The sequence below is a fragment of the Homo sapiens genome, chromosome 3, assembly GCF_000001405.40.
Source record: "Homo sapiens chromosome 3, GRCh38.p14 Primary Assembly".
Lineage (NCBI taxonomy): Eukaryota > Metazoa > Chordata > Mammalia > Primates > Hominidae > Homo > Homo sapiens.
In genome coordinates, this window is record NC_000003.12 from 128,152,477 (window position 1) to 128,174,164 (window position 21,688).

At 45.9% G+C, this 21,688-nt stretch overlaps 2 protein-coding genes across 12 annotated transcripts in view, besides 3 other annotated features; one reads left to right on the forward strand and one right to left on the reverse strand.

Moving 5' to 3' along the window:
• RUVBL1 (RuvB like AAA ATPase 1) overlaps positions 1 to 1,438 on the reverse strand; it is an 89,130-nt gene extending 87,692 nt beyond the window's left edge. For both annotated transcript variants that reach the window (NM_001319086.1, XM_017007357.3), the window contains exon 1: positions 727 to 1,438. The gene's annotated coding sequence lies outside the window, so the exon portion shown is untranslated. The remainder of the gene's footprint in view (positions 1 to 726) is intronic.
• Positions 636 to 865: an enhancer, noted in NCBI's record as "active region_20477". NCBI's record gives its function as "activates an Ori minimal core promoter by ATAC-STARR-seq in GM12878 lymphoblastoid cells {active_cell/tissue: GM12878}" and the evidence as "EXISTENCE:reporter gene assay evidence [ECO:0000049][PMID:35858748]".
• Positions 996 to 1,515: a silencer, noted in NCBI's record as "silent region_14703". NCBI's record gives its function as "represses an Ori minimal core promoter by ATAC-STARR-seq in GM12878 lymphoblastoid cells {active_cell/tissue: GM12878}" and the evidence as "EXISTENCE:reporter gene assay evidence [ECO:0000049][PMID:35858748]".
• EEFSEC (eukaryotic elongation factor, selenocysteine-tRNA specific) overlaps positions 1,005 to 21,688 on the forward strand; it is a 272,743-nt gene continuing 252,059 nt past the window's right edge. For all 10 annotated transcript variants that reach the window (XM_024453695.2, NM_001437809.1, XM_024453693.2 and 7 more), the window contains exon 1: positions 1,005 to 1,347. In XM_024453695.2, the coding sequence (XP_024309463.1) occupies positions 1,032 to 1,347 (316 nt within the window). In that variant the 5' untranslated portion in view covers positions 1,005 to 1,031. The remainder of the gene's footprint in view (positions 1,348 to 21,688) is intronic.
• Positions 15,530 to 15,824: a silencer, noted in NCBI's record as "tiled region #8761; K562 Repressive non-DNase unmatched - State 23:Low". NCBI's record gives its function as "represses a minimal TATA promoter and a strong SV40 promoter by Sharpr-MPRA in K562 cells {active_cell/tissue: K562}" and the evidence as "EXISTENCE:reporter gene assay evidence [ECO:0000049][PMID:27701403]".

Genomic DNA, 21,688 nt, shown 5'->3' on the forward strand with positions numbered 1-21,688 from the left:
CTTTTTATCTCAGCTTTTATTTTCCCTAGGAGACTTCTCGCTCTCTGAAATGGTCTGGTTCAGGCTGTATTGTTTGACTTAGCCCTCACCCCCTGAATGTAATATTAGCGGGCACTGTAGCCCAGCGGAACCCACCAGGCACTTGGTAAGATCTTGCTGAAATGTATGAATGATTGGAAGTGTGTCCGGAGTTGGTTTCTTCCAGTGGGTTCCTAGTCTCGCTGACTTCAAGAATGGAGCCGCGGACCTTCGCAGTGAGTGTTAAAGCTCTTAAAGATGGCACAGTCCCAAAGAGTGAGCAGCAGCAAGATTTATTGTGAAGAGCAAAAAGCTTCTGCAATGCGAAAGGGCACCTGAGAGGGTTGCTGCTGCTGGCGGGGGTGGCCAGCTTTTATTCCCTTATTTGCCCCCTCCCCCACGTCCCCCCGCCCTCCCCCGCCCCCCGCCGTCCCCCCGCCCTCCCCCCCGCCCCCGTCTTCCCGCCCCCCCCGCCCCCGTCTTCCCCCCGCCCACCCCGCCCCCCCCGCCCCCCTTCGCCCCCCCATGTTCCGTTTTTGTCCTATCAGAGCGCCCTTTTTTCAATCCTCCCTGTGATTGGCTTCTTTTAGGATCCTGCTGATTGGTGCATGTTACAGAGCACTGATTGGTGCGTTTTACAGAGCGCTGATTGGTGCATTTTACAATCCTCTTGATAGCTATAGAAAAGTTCTCCAAGTCTCCACTCACCCAGAAAGTCCAAATGGCTTCACTTCTCAGAAGGATCCCTCCATCTCGGGCTCCTAGAGGCTTCAGGCAGGAGGAGCCACGTGAGAGAGAAACCCTGCCTACGGTGACCTCCAGTTCCTAGACCACCCACTCGGAGCACGGCGCTCGGCTGTGCCCGTGAGCCTCAGGAGGGCGGAAGCTTCCGGGCCGGAACGGGTGTGCACAGCGCGCCGGTTACGGGGGGGCAACTTAACGGGCCGGACCGCGGCGACTACCGAGGGAGGTGAGGGGCGGGCCGGGCGGGTGTCCGAGGCGGCGGCGGCGGCATGGCAGGGCGGCGGGTGAACGTGAACGTGGGCGTGCTGGGCCACATCGACAGCGGCAAGACGGCGCTGGCGCGGGCGCTAAGCACCACAGCCTCCACCGCCGCCTTTGACAAGCAGCCGCAGAGCCGCGAGCGCGGCATCACGCTCGATCTGGGCTTCTCGTGCTTCTCGGTGCCGCTGCCCGCGCGCCTGCGGTCGTCTTTGCCCGAGTTCCAGGCAGCGCCCGAGGCCGAGCCCGAGCCCGGCGAGCCACTGCTTCAGGTCACGCTGGTCGACTGCCCCGGGCACGCCTCCCTCATCCGGACCATCATCGGCGGTGAGCGCGGGCCGGGGCGGGAGCCGGGCTCAGGGACGCGGGCGGAGCGACCGGGCCCCGTGTCCGAATTCGCTCGAGCCTTTGCCGGGACGGGAAATCGCCCCACCTCATTGGTGGGGCTCCTGACGCCCCAAGAGGCGGACGTGACTTGCCTAGGGCTCCGCAGCAAGTGAGCGGAGGCTTTGAGATTCAGCTTTTCCCATCCAGCAGAACCGAGCTGCAAGGCGCCTTCCTTAAAAAAAAAAAAAAAAAAAAATCAAAAAATCCCTACCAAATGTGTTTATAATACATGGTCAAGTAAAGAAAACTCAAAATAAGAAAACTCACAAGCTACAAAAAGGGTATACATACAAAGGCTGTCTTCATTCACCTGTCATTTGGTCTGATTCCCGTTCCTAGAGCCAACCGCTGCTACCAGTTTTTGTATATCATTTCAGAAAGGCTCCACGTCAATACAAGCATATCTGTGTGTATGTATAAATCCCTCTTTCCCTCATCCTTTTAGACACGATTTCACTCAACATTGTGTCTGGAGAGTGCCCCATATCTGTACACAAAGCTACATCATTCTTTTTAAAGCTCACATAGAATTCAACTGCACCCTTGTACCAACATTTTCTTTTTCTTTTTTTTTTTTTCTTTTTGAGACAGAGTCTTGTTCTGTCGCCCAGCCTGGAGTGCAGTGGCACGATCTCGGCTCACTGCAACTTCCGCCTCCTGGGTTCAAGCGATTGTCCTGCCTCAGTCTCCTGAGTAGCTGGGATTACAGGCGCGCGCCACCACGCCCGGCTAATTTTTTTGTATTTTCAGTAGAGACGGGTTTCACCATGTTGGTCAGGCTGGTCTCAAACTCCTGACTTCATGACCCGCCCGCCCTGGCCTCCCAAAGTCCTGGGATTACAGGCGTGAGCCACCACGTCCGGCCTGTACCAACATTTTCTGAACAAATCTTTTAATGATGGACGTTTATGCTGTTTCCAGTATTTACAAACCATTTTGCAGTGAATATTCTAGAACAGAACTCTTTGGTATGTTCGCATATATGTAGGATAATAGATAATAACTGGCTGGGGCAAGGGGCATGTGTGTTTTCGGTCGTGGTGGGTACTGCCAAAATGCCCCACAAAGAGGTACCATTAATTTTTAATTATACATGTAATACATGAATACATGCTACTTGTGAAGAAATAGAACATCACAAATAAGACAAACATTCCCTTACCCACTCCTCTGTCCTAAATTCTGTACCCCTCCTATCTCTGCAAATGAAAAGACCCGTTTTTTGTTTTTTTGTTTTTTTGTTTTTTTCTGAGATGGAGTCTCGCTCTGTTACCAGGCTGGAGTGCAGTGGTGCAATCTTGGCTCACTGCAACCTCTTTCTCCCCGGTTCAAGCGATTCTCCTGCCTCAGCCTCCCAAGTAGCTGGGACTACAGGTGCACATCACCACACCTGGCTAATTTTTATATTTTTAGTAGACATGGGGTTTCACCATATTGGCCAGGATGGTCTTGATCTCGACCTCGTGATCCCCATGCCTCGGCCTCCCAAAGTGCTGGGATTACAGGTGTGAGCCACTGTGCCTGGCTGAAAAGACCATTATTATACCTTTGTGGATTACTTTTCCAGACCCATTTAACTCCACTTAAATATATGGATAGAGTTTTAAAACATGTTTTGTTTTTAGAAAAAATGATACAATAATATAAACACATGGTATAAAAGGGTATATAGCTAAAGAAGTATACTTCTCACTGCTGACCCCAGTACCTGATTACCTTTCTGTTCCCATTTTCTTGTGTTTCCTTCCAGCAATATTCTGTATGCCACACATGGGAATATATATTGGGCAGATGATAATTGGCTTGGTGGCAGATGGCCTCATTGGTCACTGGGCATTCTGGGTCCCAGCTATAATGGTGAGCTTGTTAAGTACAGTACTTCATCTTTGTTACCTCCCAACTGTTTCATGTTACAGGCAGTCTGAGATCATTTCCCCATTTTACAGTAGAGGAAATAGAAGTTTGAAGAAGTGAAGGGACTTGCTCAGGGTCACACTATCTAAAGTCTTCTCCTCAATCCATGTTTCAGTCAGGTGAATTTCAAGGGGCACACAATTCTCTACCCATTCCTCCCTGCCCCCTTATAACTGAATTCTGTTTGGTCACATCAAAGTACATTTTAGAACATGGACTCTGAGCCAGTCCAGACTGGAGGTGGAAGGCAGAGGTTAAAAAATGAGATGGCGAGTTTTTAGTGTTGTCTAGTAAATAGGGTAGATGAGTGGTGAAGGACATACTTTTGGAGTCAGACAAAACTGGGCTTGAAGCCTAGCTTGCTTTCTTCCTTAGCTGTATGACGTTTGAACCTAATTCTGGACCTTGCTCCAACTGGAAGATAGTGGTAACCACACAACTATTTATTGGCTTGACTTTTCTTGTGTATTTGCTGCTTACCAGGCAAACCCTGCAAGGAGCGTGGTGGTTACCATTTAATAGTTGAGAAAATTGGGACTTAGGGAGGCAGGTAGTTAGTGAAACAGTCCAGGTCTGCCTGACTCCAAAGCTGGAGTCCTTTGCATGCTTCCCCAGGTTACCCTATAGTTCCCTCATCCGCTTCCAACATACGTGCATACCTCATGTTATTGTGCTTCACTTGATTGTACTTTGCAGATAGTGGTTTTTACAAATCGAAGGTTCAAGGCAACCCATCCAACAGCATTGCTTACTTTGTGTCTCTATGCCACATTTGGGTTATTCTTAACAATATTTCAAACTTTTCATCAAATATTAAGCATCAAACATTTCACTTCATTTCAAACACATGTCATCTGTTAATGGTGATCTGGGATCAGTGATCTTTGATGTTACTATTGTAATTTTGAAATGTCACAAACAATGCTTATGTAAGGCAGCAAACTTAATAAATGTTGTGTGTTTTCTGACTGTTCTACCTACTGGCTTTTTCCCTGTCTGTCTCCCTCTCCTCAGGCCTCCCTATTCCCTGAGACACAACAATATTAAAATTCATCCAGCTAATAGCCTTTATGCGTTCAAGGGAAAGGAAGAGTTGCAAGTCTCTCACTTTAAATCAAAAGTTAGAAATGATTAAGCTTAGTGATGAAGGCAATGTTGAAGACTGAGATAGGCTGAAAGCAAGGCCTCTTACACCACACCAAACAGCAAAGTTTTGGACGCAAAGGAAAAGTTCCTGAAGGAAATTAAAAGTGCTACTGTAGTGAACACACAGATGATAAGAAAGCAAGACAGCTTTATTGCTTTATAGAGAAAGTTTTAGTGGTCTGGATAGAAAATCAAACCAGCTACCACATTCCCTTAAGTGGAAGCCTAATCCAGAGCAAGGCCCTAACTCTTCAATTCTATGAAGGCTGAGAGAGGTAAGGAAGCTGCAGAAGAAAAGTTTGAAGCTAGCAGAAGTTGGTTCATGAGGTTTGAGGAAAGAGGCCATCTCCAGAACATAAATGTACAAGATGAAACAACAAATGGTGATAGAGAAGCTGCAGCAAGTTATCCAGGAGATCTAGCTAAGATCATTGATGAAGGTGAGTACACTAAACAGATTTTCACTGTAGATGGAACAGCCTTATATGGAGAAGATGCTATGTAGGACTTTCATAGCTACAGAGAAGTCAATGACTGGGTACAAAGCTTCAAAGGACAGGCTGACTCTTGTTAGGGGCTAATGCAGCTGAAGCCATTGCTCATTGACCATTCCAAAAATCCTAGGGCCCTTAAGAATTATGCTAAATCTATTCAGCCTGTGCTCTTGAAATGGCACAACGCAGCCTGGATGACAGCACATCTGTTTATAGCATGGTTTACTGAATATTTTAAGCCCACTGTTGAGACCTACTGCTTAGAAAAAATACTCCTTTCAAAATATTACTGATTGTTGATAATGCACCTGGTCACCTAATGGCTCTGATGGAGATGTACAAAGAGATTAATTTGTTATCATGCTTGCTAACACAGCATCCATTCTGCAGTGTATGGGTCAAGGAGTAATTTTGACTTTCAGGTCTTATTATTTAAGAAATATATTTCATAAGGCCATAGCTGCCCAAGATAATAATTCCTCTGATGGATCTGGACAAAGTAAATTGAAAACCTTCTGGAAAGGATTTATCATTCTAGATGCCATAAAGAACATTTGTGATTCATGGGAGGAGGTAAAAATATCAACAGTAACAATAATTTGGAAGAGGTTGATTCCAACCCTCATGGATGACTGAGGGGTTCAAGACTTCAGTGGAGCAAGTCACTGCAGATGTGGTAGAAATAGCAAGAGAGTTAGAATGAGAAGTGGTGCCTGAGGATATGACTGAATTGCTACAATCTCATGATCAATCTTGAGTGGATGAGGAGTTGCTTCTTGTGCATGAGCAAAGAAAGTAGTTTCTTGAGATGGAACCTACTCCTGGTGAAGATGCTGTAAACATTGTTGAAATGACAACAAAGGATTTAGAATATTACATAAACTTAGTTGATAAAGCAGTGGCAAGATTTGAGAGGACTGACTCCAGTTTTGAAAGCAATTCTGTGAGTAAAATGCCATCAAACAGCTTCACATGCTACAGATAAATTTTTGTAAAAGGAAGAGTCACCTGATGTGGCAAACTTCATTGTCTTATTTCATTAGATTGCCACAGTCACCCCAACCTTCATCAACCACCACCCTGATCAGTCGGCAACCATCACCATTGAGGCAAGACCCTCCACCAGCAAAAAGATTATGACTTGCTGAAGGTTCAGTAATCATTAGCATTTTTTAGCAATGAATTATTTTAAAATTAAGGAATGTTTATTGTTTTTTGAGACATACTACTATTGCACACTTAATTGACGACATGTCATGTAAACATAACTTTTATACACATTGGGAAACCAAAAAATTTGACTTGCTTTATTGTGATATTCACTGTGCTGCAGTGGTCTGGAACTGAATGCACAATATCTTTGAGGTAAGCCTCATTTGTAGAGAAGCTCTTCATATTGCAAAAAAGTTTCAGCACTTGCCTGGTCCTATATAACCAATTGTAATGCCCTGAAGAATTTGGCAAGTTTTTTATTTAGACTAAAACTGTAGAAGAACTTATTTTTGTATGTACATTGTTGCTTATCTTTTGTCTCATCTCTGGAGTAGGGAGATTTATCTTCTTAAAATATGGCCTGAGTGGAATGGAATGCTGAGACCAAGGCTGCTACCATTCTTCCTTGAATACATCAGAGACCCACCTTCCTTTTCAGGGAATTGAGAAAAAACAATGTTTTTCTTGTAAAGAGAAGGTGTTCCCCATTGAGTGCCTGCTCGGGCCCAGGCCTGTTGCCAGGAACTTGCATCTATGCAATACCACCCTGTGTGGTGGGAGTGTTAGTTAGCCTTATTTCTCAGATGAGGAAACCCAAGCAAAGTGCCTTGGGCTAGTGTTGGAACCTAACTCCGCCACCCCTAACCTGGATCTGGTTAATACCTTCATTTCACCTCATGGTCCACAAACTTGTGGGCATCTTTGCCTTCTTGAAATGGCCCCCAAGGCCATCCTGGCTTATGGCACCTGGACTTCTACAGTTCTGCCCCCTGCCTGCTTATTCTCCTCCTCCCTCTGATTCATTCTCTGCACAGTGGGCATTGCTCTCCTTTTACAAGTGTTCATCAGATCATGTCAGCCCTACACTTGACAAGACTTTCCAGTGAGTTCTCATTGTGCTTGGAGTAAAATCCAGCCACTTTGTGGCCCATAGGACAATGGTCTGGCTCTGCTTTCCTCTGATCCCATCAACGATCCCATCAACGACTGCTCCCCACTCTGACCTTCAGTCACGGTGGCCTCATTTCTCTTCCTCCAGTGGGCCCACCAGCTGCTTCCCTCAGGACATTTGCACCTGTTGTTGCCTCTGTTTGGTACATCTGGCTCCTTAAGTCTCTGCTTTAATGGCACCTCCTCAGCAGCCTCTCCTGCCCCACCTATCTAAAGTTGTCTCTTCAACCCTCACCCCCTCATACTTTCTCATGTCCCTGTTTCATTGCCCCAGCAGCCCTTTTCACTACCTGACGTTCTTCATGTGTTTACTTGTTGAGTATCTGTCCTCTGCTAGAATGTGAGCTCCATGAGACCAGAGCAGGAACCTTGTTTGTCTCATTCACCAGTGTTCTCAGCACTTGGGCCAGAGCCTGGCATAGGATAGATATTTAGTAAGTTCTGGATGAATGAAGCCTGTGTACCAGCTCCTGGGCTAGCCAGTTTTAGTGAGCAGAGAACCTTCTTTGTGGGTTAGTGGACAGAAGGCAACTAGCTTAGGGCCTGGCCTGTAGTGAATTATGCAGGTTGGTTCTTTGTCCTCCCCTTTAGGAGCTTACATCAGAACCCGGAAGACACTGCTGTGTACAAAGTGATCTTCTGGAGTTCTTTGCACAAGGGCAAAAGCAGGAGTAACTCACTTTTTCTTTCCTAGGCAAGGGCAAGGCTCTGAGCCTTAAACATGCCATTGTGTCTCAACATCAGAGATGACTGCCAGCATTTAGGCATGGCTGGAAATCGGCGTGGTGTGTGGGAGGTGTGCTAAAGATGAAGCTAGAAGGGTTGGCAGGGCCAGACCCTAGAGAATGGCCCTTAGTGTAGATTTTTCCTAAGGGTCCTGGAGCTCCTTGGAAGGCTGTTAAAGCAGGTGTGTGATATGATTGGGCTGAGCTTTTGATAGAAAGTTGCAGGATTGCTGGGCAGGGATTCCCACTGGCAGCAGGTGTGGTTTTCTCTAGCTGCACCTGCACCTGGCATCCCTGGGAGATCGGGCTCTTGTTAGAGTTCCTTGCTACTGTGAAAGATTTAGACCCCCTGTGGAATATGTTATTCCCAGGAGAAGGAAATTATAACAGTTGTCTGAGTTCTGTGATGATATCTCTGAAGTTTAATATATCTTAAATTAAAGCTGGCTCTAATTCCACTGTGTGCGCACACACACGCGCGCACACACACACACACACACGAATCCTATCTTAACTTAGAGAAAATTGGGTTTTATCTCCCTTGATGCATGTGGCCACAGATAAAACTAAGTGGTGCTGTGGGGTTAACAGTGATAATTGTACTTACCATTATTTAGTGCTTGTCTGTATGCTGTTTTTTTGATTTGTTTGTTTAATCTTCACACTATTCCTAGGAGGTAAGAGTTGCTATTCCCATTTTACAGATAAAAAACCATGGCTCAGAGGTCAGGGAACCCAGTTAGTAAGTGTCAGAACTAGGTTTGAACCCATATTGATCTGACTGCACAGCCCATACGCTGGCATTCTCAGTGTGAATGAAAAAGTGTACCCGTCCATTCCAGCCCCCTGTAGTGGTTCAGAGCAGTATTTTTCTTGAATCCATTTTAGAGTATAAATCTTTCAGGGTTACAACTTCAAAAAGATTCAGTAATGTATGTTTTAAAGACTTGGGTGGGTGTGAGGGACTTAGACTCATCCTCAATCTAACTCTGGCAGGAAAGAGGAGGGCTGAAAAATGCTGGTATCTTGGCTTGGCAATTTATAGTCCTCTGGTGGCTGTGAGGATTAACAGTGTATTGTCTCCCAGTCTTTTGTTTCGGTTGTTAATGAACAGCACTGCTACTTGTCGCCTGGACCTCTTGCCTTCTGTACACACTATTTTAGCGGTGCCTCCTGCGTGGGTCTGACCCTCTCTGAGCCCTCCCTGCCAAGAGCTGAGGAGGGCTGCAAAAGACTTCTAAGTCTGACTCAGGTTACTCTCCTTGAAGGAGAGAAACATCCAAGAGCCTACAAGATTTTTGTCTCTGCAGCCTGGAGAGAACATTCTTTGTAAAACTTAAGCGACTTTGCCTTTTCCTTTTTTCCAGCCTTCTGTGTTCTTGGCGCCCATGTGGAGAAGGCTCTTCCCCTTTCATCTGTTTTATTGAGGTGTGTGCCCTTCATTCTTTCTGCAGATGCCCTCTCTTGACTCGTAAATGAAACAAGGGGTTCTTGTGTGTGAATGAATTTCAACCAGATTTTTTTGTGATACCCGTTAGGCATCTGCACATATCCCCGGAAAGCAGCCTGCTCCAGGCAGAAATAACATACTGGGGGCTTGACCAGGTAGGCCTTGGTGTCCTTGAGGAATTTGGGTGTTACTCTAATGCAAAAGCAAACAAACCAAACACCACTTTTGGTTTTCTTTACCCCTAGTCTTTTCAGGAGAATCTGTGTAGGAATATATTATGTGAAATTGTGGTAATTATGTATGTTTGTCCTAAAATACTGAGGCATATTTGAAGGAGTTCTAAGTGGAAATGCTTTCTTCAGCTTTACTTCTTTAGTTCCTAGTATCCATCAGGCCTTAGTTCCCTGTTTCTTTGTGCCCATCCAGTGAGAGCTGTTTCTTTCTCTTCTTCACTGAAAGGTACACACCATAACTAGAAGATTCTACTCTCCAGTACTGCTTCTTCGACGTCCTCTACCACCAACTAAAGCTGAGGCTGACACTGGAGTTGCTTGCCTTCACTTGCTTCAAAGACTCTTATGTTCAATAGAGTCTGCCTCACTCAGCACTAAAGTGTACCACTATTCAAGTACAAGTTTTCTTGTTTTGCCTGGTACCTTATTGCTCTCTGACCCCACCTGATCTCCCCATACACTGGAGTGCCTTTAACTCTCTCCAGGAGACTCAAGTTGAGCTTTGTCTGCGGCACCTTCTCTTGGCGCTGGACAGCGGGTGATTTTGCTTTAGCTTGGGTGACAGTGTGGGAGTAGCGCAACATCAGAGACACAGCCTTGAGTTTAAATTAATGCAGAATATTTGAGCAGGAACCAACAGGAAAGAAAAATGGAAGCAGGTAGTCATATTTCATTCTGTTGGGGTACATTTTTCTTCTCATGGGGCTTGCCCTTGAGAACAAAACATATCAAAAGTTAAATCAAAGAATATTTTTGTAGTCGTGCTAGGAATAGAAAATAATGCAAAGACTCTGGCTTCTTGAGGCAAATATTTTGCTGGAAGGTTATAATCAAAGTCAGAAGGAAATCATAGCCACAGCTTTCGGTAAAGCTGTAATCATTTAAAATTAATTGCTTTTAAACTTTTCACTGAGCATCCCCTTTGTTTTCTATCAGCATGTCTCTTGGGTTTTTCTTCGGAATCATTCCATCCAGGTTGGAATAGGATTCGGGCAGGCATCCCAGGAAACAACCCATAAATTAAGCCCTAAGACATATTCCCCTTTCTGTCATTCTTTTGTTTGATGGAGCCTCAACCAGGCTGGGGATGAGATACTCTTACCTTAAGAGCTCAATTCTGTGTCCCCTTTACCAGTAAAGGCTTTGATGTGCGGAAAATGATGGTATCTATAGCTCTGGTACTCTGGGTATCTTGGAGGCCCAGTCTTGGTGGGGGTAGAGCCTGGCACTTCTGAGGCAGCCTCATGGTAGGATAGGGAGCTGGAGTGAGTCCTCGTTCTTCTAGGCTCTGGACTTGGTTGCACAGCATGCATCCCTCTTGGTGTGAACACTTCACTCCAATGGCTGGTTTCCATGTCTCCTCTTTCCATTAGCCTGGAAGCTTGATGGGGTAGAGACAATATCTGAATCATCTCTGTAGGTCTAGGGCCAACCCAGAGCCTGGCATACAGCAGATAATAATTTTAAAAACATTTTTAATTTTATATAGTGTTTATATAATTTTTTAAAATAATTTTATGGTATGTAAATTACATACCATAAAATTCACCCATTTCACTGAGTGTACACTAAGTGAACACTCAGTGGTTTTCACTGTACTCATACAGTTGTGTAGCTGTCATCACACAATCTCAGTTTAGACCATTTTCGTCACCCCATAAAGAAACCACATCCCTACCAGGAGTCATTCCCCATTCGCCCCTCTCCCAGGCCTAGGCAACCACGAATCTACTTAATGTCTCTGGATTGACCGGTCCTGGACATTTCATATAAGTAGATCACACAATATGTGGCCTTTTTGTCTGGCGACTTTTGCTTGGCCTCCTATGTTGCCCAGGCTGGTCTTGAACTCCTGAAGTTAAGCAGTCCTCTTGCCTCAGCCTCCCAAAGCGAGCATATGCTTTGGGAACCAGTATTGCATTTTTTTGTGAAAAAAAAAAAAAACAAAACTATTTCTATTGATTTCTACTTGTGGTAAAGTATAAATAATGTACAATTTGCCATCTTAGCCATCTTAAGTGTACAGTGTGTGGCATGTGCTCCTCAGGCTGCCTCCTCTTTCTGTGATGTGCCTGGCCCATGGAGACATTTGGGCTGGTAGGCCTTGTTTTAAGGGCTTTCGGCAGCTTGTGTGGTGGGAAAGGACCACATGGAGCTGCATTTGGTGTTTTTCTCCACTCACTCAGAGATTCTACACATACACGTTGCATGGCTTTGTTTTGGACGTGAGGGCAGATACACAGTCGTGCCTGTGTTCAAGGGGCTCACAGTCCCGAGTAGGGAGGAGGAAGCCAGGCAGTGCCAGCAGCCAGTTTAAGATGTGGAGTGGTAAGGGCTTTGATCGAGATGGGCATAGAAATGTGAGTACCTGCCTGGGGTGGCAGATAGGGAATCCTGCTGGAGGAGACACACGGCTGGGCCTGGAAGGATGACCTGTGGATTTCCAGGCTGAGAGATCCAGGAAACAGCCTTAGCAGAGTCCAGAGGCATGGAAGCAGCCCTGGCTAAAGAAGGGGAGTGGTCAGGGTGGCTGGCACTTGCACACAGGGGGGTGTGAAAGGAGGTGCGGCCAGGTTGGCTGGGTCACAGGCCAGTCCAACTGGCTTGTGGGAATTGTGAAGGATGGTTGAGATATTACATTTTAGAAGATGGGAGGCATTCCAGCTAGAGGACTCAGAGTAAACAAGGACCTAGAGACAAAGGGAGGGCTGGAGTGTGACTGGGGTATCAGGCCAAGCTTCCAGAGGGTAGCCCGGACCAGATCTCAGGAGCCGGGAGAGTCTCTTCTGGGAGGAAGGCTGGTAGGTTTTAAGCTTCTGGTGGCTTTTAGTGAGCTCCCTGAGTCTGAGGAGAGGACTGTGACAAGTGGTCCTAGGGCCTGTCATTCCTCTCATCATTCCAGCTTCAGCTTTCTGACCCAGCTGGATGAAGGAGAAGAGGAAGGACACCTCAGGCAGGCAAGGCGGATGCCATCAGCAGGGAAAGTGGGGCTCTGGGGTTGCAGACATGGCAGTGCTGAGCAGTGGCCAAGGGATAGTTCTGCCTCTTGGAGGGAGATGAAAGAATGGACTTTTGGAGAACGCTTGCTGTCTGCTGGACACTGTTCTAGACCCGTGGCTCTTGCTGCATCCTCCCAGCCAGTCTCCTAGGGAGGCGTTTCCATCTACATTGCTCAGCTACTAGAAATGAGGCTCTGAGCAGTAGGCAGTTTGCTGCAGGGCGCACAAGTAGCCAGTGCCAGGCTCTGTTTCAGAGGCCCTGGCTTTGCCCAGAAGCTGCTCTCAGACCTTAGCACATGCCTGCTTCCATAGAAAATTGTGGCTCCTGAGGAACACTTTATATATAAATCAAATTGTCAAAAATAGAGATTTCTGCTTCTATTCTCCCCTCGATTATTTGAGTTTTTGTCTTTTGTTAATTGGGTCTTTTATTTTCTTGTGCTGTGTGATTAGGCTCCTGCTGCTTTGAAGTGGCCTTTGTTGGGTGGGTAGGGAGGACTTAGTTAATGTGGGTGATCCTCTCTTGGCAGGAGAAAAAACAACTTTTGCTGTTGAGAGAGAAGTTGACTTTCCCTCTTTCCATATCTCTTGTGTTGTGATGATTCCTCTCTTGTCTTGAGGCCTTCAGGAAGACTAAAATAATTTCCTTTGTCTCTAACCTACTTCCTGAGGATATTTATTTGGTGCCATGCACAGGTGCTGCTTAAAGATAAACCTGACTTTTTTCTTTCAAAATTAGTGCTTGAAATTTGCTAGCATTGCCCTGTCTGGCAGCAGGAACTTGCCTTGCTTGGCCTGGTGGCTACATCCCTTACCATAGATTTATTTGGGTTGCTTAGAGCTCCAGAGGGTCAGTGGCTTGTCCTTGGTCATTTGACATTGGCACTAGAGCTCAGTCTTCCCAGATACATGACGGTGTGGCACTTGAGGAAAAAATGGCCCTGTTTGTGGTCATTTCCAGGTGAGTTTCAGGATCTTTCGCCATGAACAGTAAAGGCCCTCGGGTTTGTGTTCTCAGCATTCTCTATTTTCTAAAAAGATGATCCAGGGGACATTCAGAGATGATCTTCAGAACTTACGCTCTAGAGAGGAAAGACTTTACATAAGAAGGACTCCATTTCTTCGGCACTTGCTGTCTGACCTCACAGACAAGTAGACCACAGGAAGACTGGAAGGGAGCCCTGAGGTGCTTACAGCACAGCCGTGTTTCCCATCAGCACCCAGCCCTTGCAGAGAGGGCTGACAGACACTTTGGCTGGAAAAAACAGTGTTTTAAAAAATCTCTGCAGTGGCTTGATCAGTACTTTCCAGCAGAACTTTCTGTGATGATAGGAATGTTCTACAGTGGCACGGTCCAACATGGCAGCCACGAGCCTCATGGCTGTTGGAGCACTTGCACTGTGGCTAGTGTAACTAAAGACTGAAATTTTAGTTTTATTTAATTTTAATTAATTTAAATTTATATAGGCACAGGTGGCTAGTGGCTGCTGTATTTGACAGCGCAGGGCTGGATGGACTGAGGAATGACTAGGTTCTGTGTCCCTATTGTAGAGTTGGGTTTGAGCTGTCCCCTACATGTGATTTGGTTATAAGAACTGTCATCTTCCTGAGATGTCCTGGCCTGGGGTGACTACCACAGGCCCTTAGATTCCACCCTCTCAGCTTCTTCACCTTCCTAGTGAAGGACACCTCCACTCTCCCAAGGTGCGGCCCTTGAACTGCTCCTCAGTGTGTCCTCCTCCTTCACCTGCCTCTGGATCCATCACCACGCCTTCTCCCTCCTGCTTGCTCTCTGTCTTTGCATTTCCCATCACCACAGCTGCGACCTGAAGACAGGCTTCTGCTAGTTCCTGGCCGGATGAGTACAGCATTCCCTCACATAGTCTCCTTGATTCCAACCCCCCGCAGAAGGTATAGGGATAGAAGAGAGTTTAAAAACTACTTCCCTGTGTAGAAGTCTTTGTTTGCTCTCTGCTGGCATAAAGGCTTAACTAAGTCTTAGCTGGCTGACGAGGCCCCTCCTGAGGGGTTGAGATCTCAGGACTCCAGGCCGAATGAACCACATGCAGGTCTGTGGACAGACAGACTGTGCTCTCTCATGCTGCATATTCTGGCTACGTGCACTTTTCTGGGAAGGGTCATTGTCCACCCTCCTCAGGCTAGATTAGGTCACCCTCATTTGAGGGCCTGTAACATCCTACACATTCCCCTATGATCTCATTTTCTCCCCATCTTATGCCTTTTCTGTTTACTGGATTATGTTTTCCACTGGACTTGATCTCTTTGAGGGTAGGGGCCTGTTAGCATTCAACTGTATGTCCGAGGGCCCAGGACAGGCCTTGGTACAGAGTAAATATTTGGTGCATGCATATCGGAATGAATGAATGAATGAAGAGGTCATTTCCCACTGCCTGCACCAATTACCCATGCTCTTATGGTGCTTTAAACAACTGGCCAAATAGAGTTCAACAGTGGAGGAAGCTTGCCTTGAGGTTAGACAAGTTAATCTTTCAATGGAAATTCAATCCTCATATTTCATTTTCAGGCCACTTTGCGTAGCAAAGTAGTTTAACTCATAGCAGATTTCTGCCATGCTGATGGTTAATTTCGTGGCCCACAGAGGGTCAGCACACTAATGCCGGGAACACGGCGACCTCAGTGCAGCTCACCGCACACAGTGAGGGCCCAGCGGCCCTGTTGTTTTAGAGAAGCAGTTCTCAAACATCCTTCTGATTTTGAGTTAACAGGGGTGACCCTTTCAAGAACATTTTTAAAAGCTATAACATAGATCCCTCCCAGATCGTATATTTTCCTTTCTCCATGCAGTTCAAAGGGGCTGAGTTGTCTCATAGGTTTTTGCCGGCAATCTTCAGCTTGACCCTGGTTGTTTAAATCTGCCGGAGGAAATTTGAACAAAGTTGTACTTTGGTAATTCTTCTGCCTCTGTGAACCTTTAACCTTGGGGTTTCTTTTCGAGCCAGGGCTGCATTGTCACCAGTCGTCCCTGCTGGGGCTTTCAAAGAGCATTGTCTAGGGCGTCTGTTTTCACTTTGCTACTGGAGTTCTTTTGAGGAAGGGTATTAATTCAGACCTGACTCTGAGACAGGACGAGCACTTTTAAACTTGCCCCAGAGCTTGGGGATGGGGAAATGAGCGTAATGCAAGCCTGTGGCTGATGCCAGTAATTGTTCTGCAAATAGTCTGTGAGGGTGAAGGGAGAAGAGGCCCTCCAGAGGCAGAGGAATGTGCCAGCTGTCCAGTGGGAGGCCACAGCTTTGCCCAGGGTTTGTTGACTACATGACAAAAAGAGGTCACTGTCTCTGATCACTAGTTCTGGGTCCAGAGTTCCTCCTGAATGTAAAATTCCTGGAGTGCCAGGTTGCTAAGAACCTGGGAGGCCAGAGGTGAACCTGGGGCTCCATATACCATTACCAAGTGCTTGCATGGTAAAAAAAACTTTCTGGGGAGAGAGAGGAAGGCTCCCTGAGGCAAGAGGGTAGAGATTTGCTCTGCTGCTGTCCTGGTGCTGGCCTGAGCCTTTCTGAGTGAGTATCCCTCTGTAGACCAGGTCACTCACCTCCATCAGCTAGCCAGTTTCACCCTTTAGTTCTTCTTGTGTCTTTTCACAGGAAGCCCAAGACACCCATAAATGTGAAATGTCACAGTCATAGGCCCCCTGGGGCTTCGAGGCTGTTGTCATGGGTGTGCAGTGTTTGAAACTGGACCCTAAGAGGGGAGGCCCTCTGGTACCTCCCCAGGCATCTCCTTGCTGGTTCTGTCACTTACTCTTTGCGACAGGTTGAGAGTTGTTTGAACATCTGGCTTGTTCCGTGGCTTTCTTTGATTTATTTTCCCAGGATTCTTAGTGTCCTGAAGATTTGGTTAGGCGACCTTATTCCTTAAGCTCAGATGGTATAGAAGGAAAGGTGGATCATGACATTAATTCATTCAACAAACTCCGAGCAACTACTGCTTGCCAGGGGTTGAGTTTCTAGTGGTCAACAAAGCAGAAGTGGCTTCTGCTTTCATGTAGCTTCCTGTCTAGTTGGGGAGGCAGATGGTACAGAAGTAAATAAAACATGCGGAATTATAAATTATGTAAGTGCTAAGCAGGACAAGACAGGATGCCCAGATAGGGACTAATGGATGTGGGGCATCTACTTTAGTTTGGAGGCCAGGGAAGGCCTTTCTGAAGCAATAAAGCTGAAGCTAAACTGTGGCACAAAAGCCCGTCCCTGGAATGTTGGGAGGTGTTCCAGACCAAAGGTGTAGCACACATGAGGGTCCTGAGGCTGGACATCTCCTGGGGCTAGCTACGAGTGAGAGGGTATCAGCTGGTTTTCACACAGCAGACCTGGTGTTGCAGGTATATTTGGACAGATGCATATATCTGGACTCTCTGGAAGTCCCAGTTTTGCTGAAAGATAAGCGTGGCACATCCTATCATTCTGAAATAGGACACGGTGAGACAGAAGAAGGCAGGCCAGCCTTCTGGATATGCCTGGTCTCACTATGGCTATCCTATTGGCCTTTATCCATCCTTAGTCTTATTTCTGGTACTGTAACCCCTTATTTCCATGGTAGAGGGATGGGCTGATGTGGAATCAGCGTTGGCAGGCAATCCTGGCAGAAAGTGAATTAGACATTTTTCACAACTCTGTGATTGTGTTTGGTCATTAAACATTGGCCCACTGGCTGCTTATGACTTGAATGCCACATGGAGGTTAAGGACACATTCCTGAACCACTAACTCAAGAATTAGACATCAGAGATACTAAGTATCTAACATCATAGAATTGTAAATAAAATTCCCCTGACACCTAGACCTCGTCTCACTCCTGGTCAGTGCTCCTTTCCCTGCATAGCCTCACAGAGCACAGGCCCTTCATGCTTCCCTCCATCCCCTTTCCTGCGGGGCTGCCTCTTGGGCTGAAGGCAATGCATGGCGGTGGGGCAGGCGGCATATTTTGCCTTTTCTTTTTCCTCCAGAAACAAGTTTGGCATGGGACTTGGTCAGTCTTGATCTGTGCCTGGAAGTGTGAAGGCGTGGGTGCAGATGTTGGGATAATTTTTGTACCTCAGAACCAGAACTGGACACTCACTGTAGGGAAGACCAGCTCCTCACCCCCCGCCCCGCCTCCCCCGCCTGGCCCGAGGTTCCTGTTGAGCAGGCATGGCCTAGCCTCAGACTTGCATGCATATTTTTCTGCTGTTGATTTTCTCAAATTCTTTCACAAGGGAACAGTAGTTTACATCCTTTAAAGCTTTCTTGAGGCTGGGCACGGTGGCTCACGCCTGTAATCCCAGCACTTTGGGAGGCGGAGGTGGGTGGATCACCTGAAGCAGGAGTTCGAGACCAGCCTAGCCAACATGACGAAACCCCGTCTCTACTAAAACTACAAAAATTAGCCATGCGTGTGTAATCCCAGCTACTTGAGAGGCTGAGGCATGAGACTGCACTCCAGCCTGGGTGGCAGAGTGAGACCACGTCTAAAAAAAAAAAAAGCTTTCTTGGGATACCAGTTTGGTCTTCTGGTGACAGAACCTTGCCCATAGGTTAGAGGAAATAATACTTTCAGCAACACCCCCAGCTTGGGGGATCTCAGAAAGAAGGGCATGTTGCCAACTTTTGAGGATTTGTCTGAGAAACAGCAACCTGGCATCCCCCTAACTCCCTGCTTTTTTTCCCTCTAGAATCAAATAGAATCTCTTTTCCTGGCAAAGATTTCCTAGATAAAAAGAGGTACTACTTAGTCATTTTTGTAGGTTCGTTAATAGTTTCTAAAAGTTTTTAAAAGTACATAATAAGAAAACTTGTTATGGCAACCAATAAAGTTTCTTTTCGAGGAATGAATATTTTCTAGGAAAGATAAGAGTCAGTTATGTTTGGTCTGATTTCTTCAGCTGAATCTTTCCCTCTTCCTCTTATCTTGAAATCTATCTCATAAGGCAATCTGGGGACACTTTAGCAAGCACTCTGGTAACAGATGTGTGTCCTCCTCTTCCTGACACATCTCCCAGCCCTGGAGACCCAGCTGTACAATCGCAAACTGTCCACAGGGCGGTGGGGTGGAAATCATCTCCATGCCGACTCCGAACTATTTGGTGCACAAGAGGGCAGTATTTGCTTACAGTCTTGGATCGGGATGATCAATGTGTAGTTTCACAGGTCAGCATAGTTAAAATGACCTCTGACTTTTTCAAGACAAAATAAACTGTAGGCCACAGCCATGATGGCTTCCCATAGATGCCTTTAAGTGTCTGATCCCTTCAGAAAAATTGCTGCTTGCTATCTTTTTTCCTTAAAAAGAAAAATATTGTTTCTTTCAAGGTTTATTTTTAATTTTTTTTTAATCAATGAAAATATGGTTTGCAGGCTTGTACCTACAATGGCAGAGGTTAAAAAGTGTTGCAAAAGCAAAACAACTGCTTTCTAATTAAAAACCAGATGGGAAGATTTTTGTTTGAAGCAAGGGGTCAAATGTATTTTCTCCCCCTTTCATATCAGTGTAAAGATTATCTGACTTAACTTTTAAAGCATTTGAAGATGTGGGCTTCAGTCATCAACCCTTCTATACTCAGTTTTGTTTTTCTGCAAGTTCACAGTATTAACCAAAGCAAGGACTTTCCAGGAGAAAAAAAGGAGATCTCCCTGCCTTCCAGAGGCACAATGTTCTATCTGAACCATAGGCCATGTCTGCTTTTGTATAATGATTTGCCTTTTTAAGTTCTTCCATGGTGTTTTTCTATAGAGACTTTTAAGCCAGAAAGACATAGCTGGCCCTCCAAATCTGTGGATTCAACCAATTGAAGATTGAAAATATTAAAAAAAAAAAAAATGAAAACAACAAAAATAACAATTCAACAACAAAAAAATGATATGTTTAAAAACACAATAAAGTATAGCAACTATTTACATAGCATTTTTATTTTATTAGTTACAAGTGATCTAGAGATGATTTAAATATATGGGAGGATATGCATAAGTTATATGAAAATACTCTGTCATTTTATATCAGGGCCTTAAGCATCCTCAGATTTTGGTCCTTCAGGGGTCCTCAAATCAATCCCCCACAGATAACAAAGGACAGTGGCATTGGTTTACAACTCCTGTCCCACCAGATTCCAGCCTATGCAAGAATTGGGATCTCATATCTTTCTGCTCTCTCTTCCTCAAACCTGGAACTTCTGATTTGAGGTGCCTCCATAACTTTAGCACCCAAGAGAGTTTAACTGAAAACAGCAGTGGTAGCAAGGCCCAGCACATTAAGGACATAGTGATGGTCAGGCCGAAGGAACCCATGCATAGGGGTGGCCTGGGTCTAGCGGAAATGCCACCTGGCCTCTCTGAGCCTGTCTGTGCACCTCAAATGCAGATGATTATCTCACAGGGTGGTTGCATCAAAGATGTCCATAAATAAAGCTTCAGGCACATAGTAGGGAGCAGTTATTGTTTTGTTTGTTTATTTTTTGTAGAGCCAAGCGCTTGCTGTGTTGCGCAGGTTGGTCTCAAACTCCTGGGCTCAAGTGATCCTCCTGCTTTGACTGCCCAAAGTGCTGGGATTACAGGTGTGAACCACTGTGACTGGCTGGGAGCAGTTACTGTGCCAATGATCTCTCTGACCCCTGACGAATTATAAGCATATGGAGGTGGTGGGGCACTGTTGGACATGAGGATGGAGACACAGACACTGATTCTTGATTGCAGACAAACCAGTTCTTTCTGGATTATTCATTTATTTGATTCATTGAGCATGTCCATTGCTTGGTCCCTTGGAGCATCTGCAGCAAAGTGAAATGCAATCTAGATGGGAGGTGCCATGCTGCCGCCTCGATCCTCTGATAGCAATCGAGGAGAAAAGCTGGGTTCCGAGGCTTAGCCCTGTATGAAATCAGATGTCTTCTTTTACTCTTTTGTAATCGCAACATAAATCTTCCAAAGGGAGTATGTCTATAAGATAGATGCCACATAAGCTGTGGAATGTATTAGTATGTGTGACATCCCTGTGGTCTTTTAATTGATCAGTGGCATTTAATGCAAAATTTGAATCTGACCACACAAAGTAGGGAGAACCCTGGGTGGCCTTCATGTTTGCTTCCCCGTGAAGCTCCTGTCCTGGCTTTTATTAGAAGGGTCTGGGTAGGAAAAGAAGGGTTTTGAGCTGAAGGCTTTCAAAAGAGGCCCATGCCATGTTTTTCCGGGAACATAGTTTCTAAAAAAATGCTGGAACCATCAGTTTCCAAAGGAGCCTGGTTTGTGAGGGGAATGAAAAGTTGTTCCTGCGTGTGGATTCTGGGTTGTTTTCCATCTTCACTCCCTAAGGCAGGGCTGGCAAGCGGGGAATGGGACAGATGTTTTGTGGTAGTAATTTCCAGTCAGATTCTTGAATGCCTTGTATACTCTGGGTCACCGTCAGCTCATAATGGAGCAAAATTGAGTGAGAATTCCTGCAATGAACGACGTGAATGGCGCACCGGAGAGATATGATGGTGGAGATAGAGTGCATTCTGCAAGAAAATATTTCCAGTGCTATCTGTAAAATTCAGATTGAATAACCATTCTGAAGTGCTCCCCTTTTAAAAGAGTTTCCTTCCACAAGCATTGCAGGCTGAGTAAATACCAATAATTTTTATTTCCCTTCTCCTTATCGGTTCCCCTACTGAAATGTTCCTGCACAGCCTATCTGGTCTTTTCAAGTGAACATCAAATGATTAGTGTCAGCTTCCAGTTTGAATTATGATCATATTTCAAAACACAAACTTCTTCACTTTTGCGTTTGGAGGTAATTATCAATATTTACCAATACTGGGGAAGAGTTGAAAATGGAGGAAATACTGCTGAGAGAATGGTGCCCCAAGTGAAGATAGCAGGGAGGGGTTGTGTGTGGCCTTGTGTGTACAGTGGCAGAGTGCTTCAGGGGCTTGGCCTGCCACGTGGATGGCCTGCTCTCTTCCAGCCCTATCCGCATTCTCGCACAGATAAGTGAGAGGAATGGTGGGGACCCAACTGCAAGGCGATCTCTTAGGGTTGGGCACTATGACAAGGCTAGAAAAGCTATTTCTGCCACCTGGAGGAGGAAACATTGCTCTGGCCGCTGCTCTCAGAGGCCCTCCCCTCTGTTTCCACAGATCCTGCTCTCTGACTGCCATGGCCTGG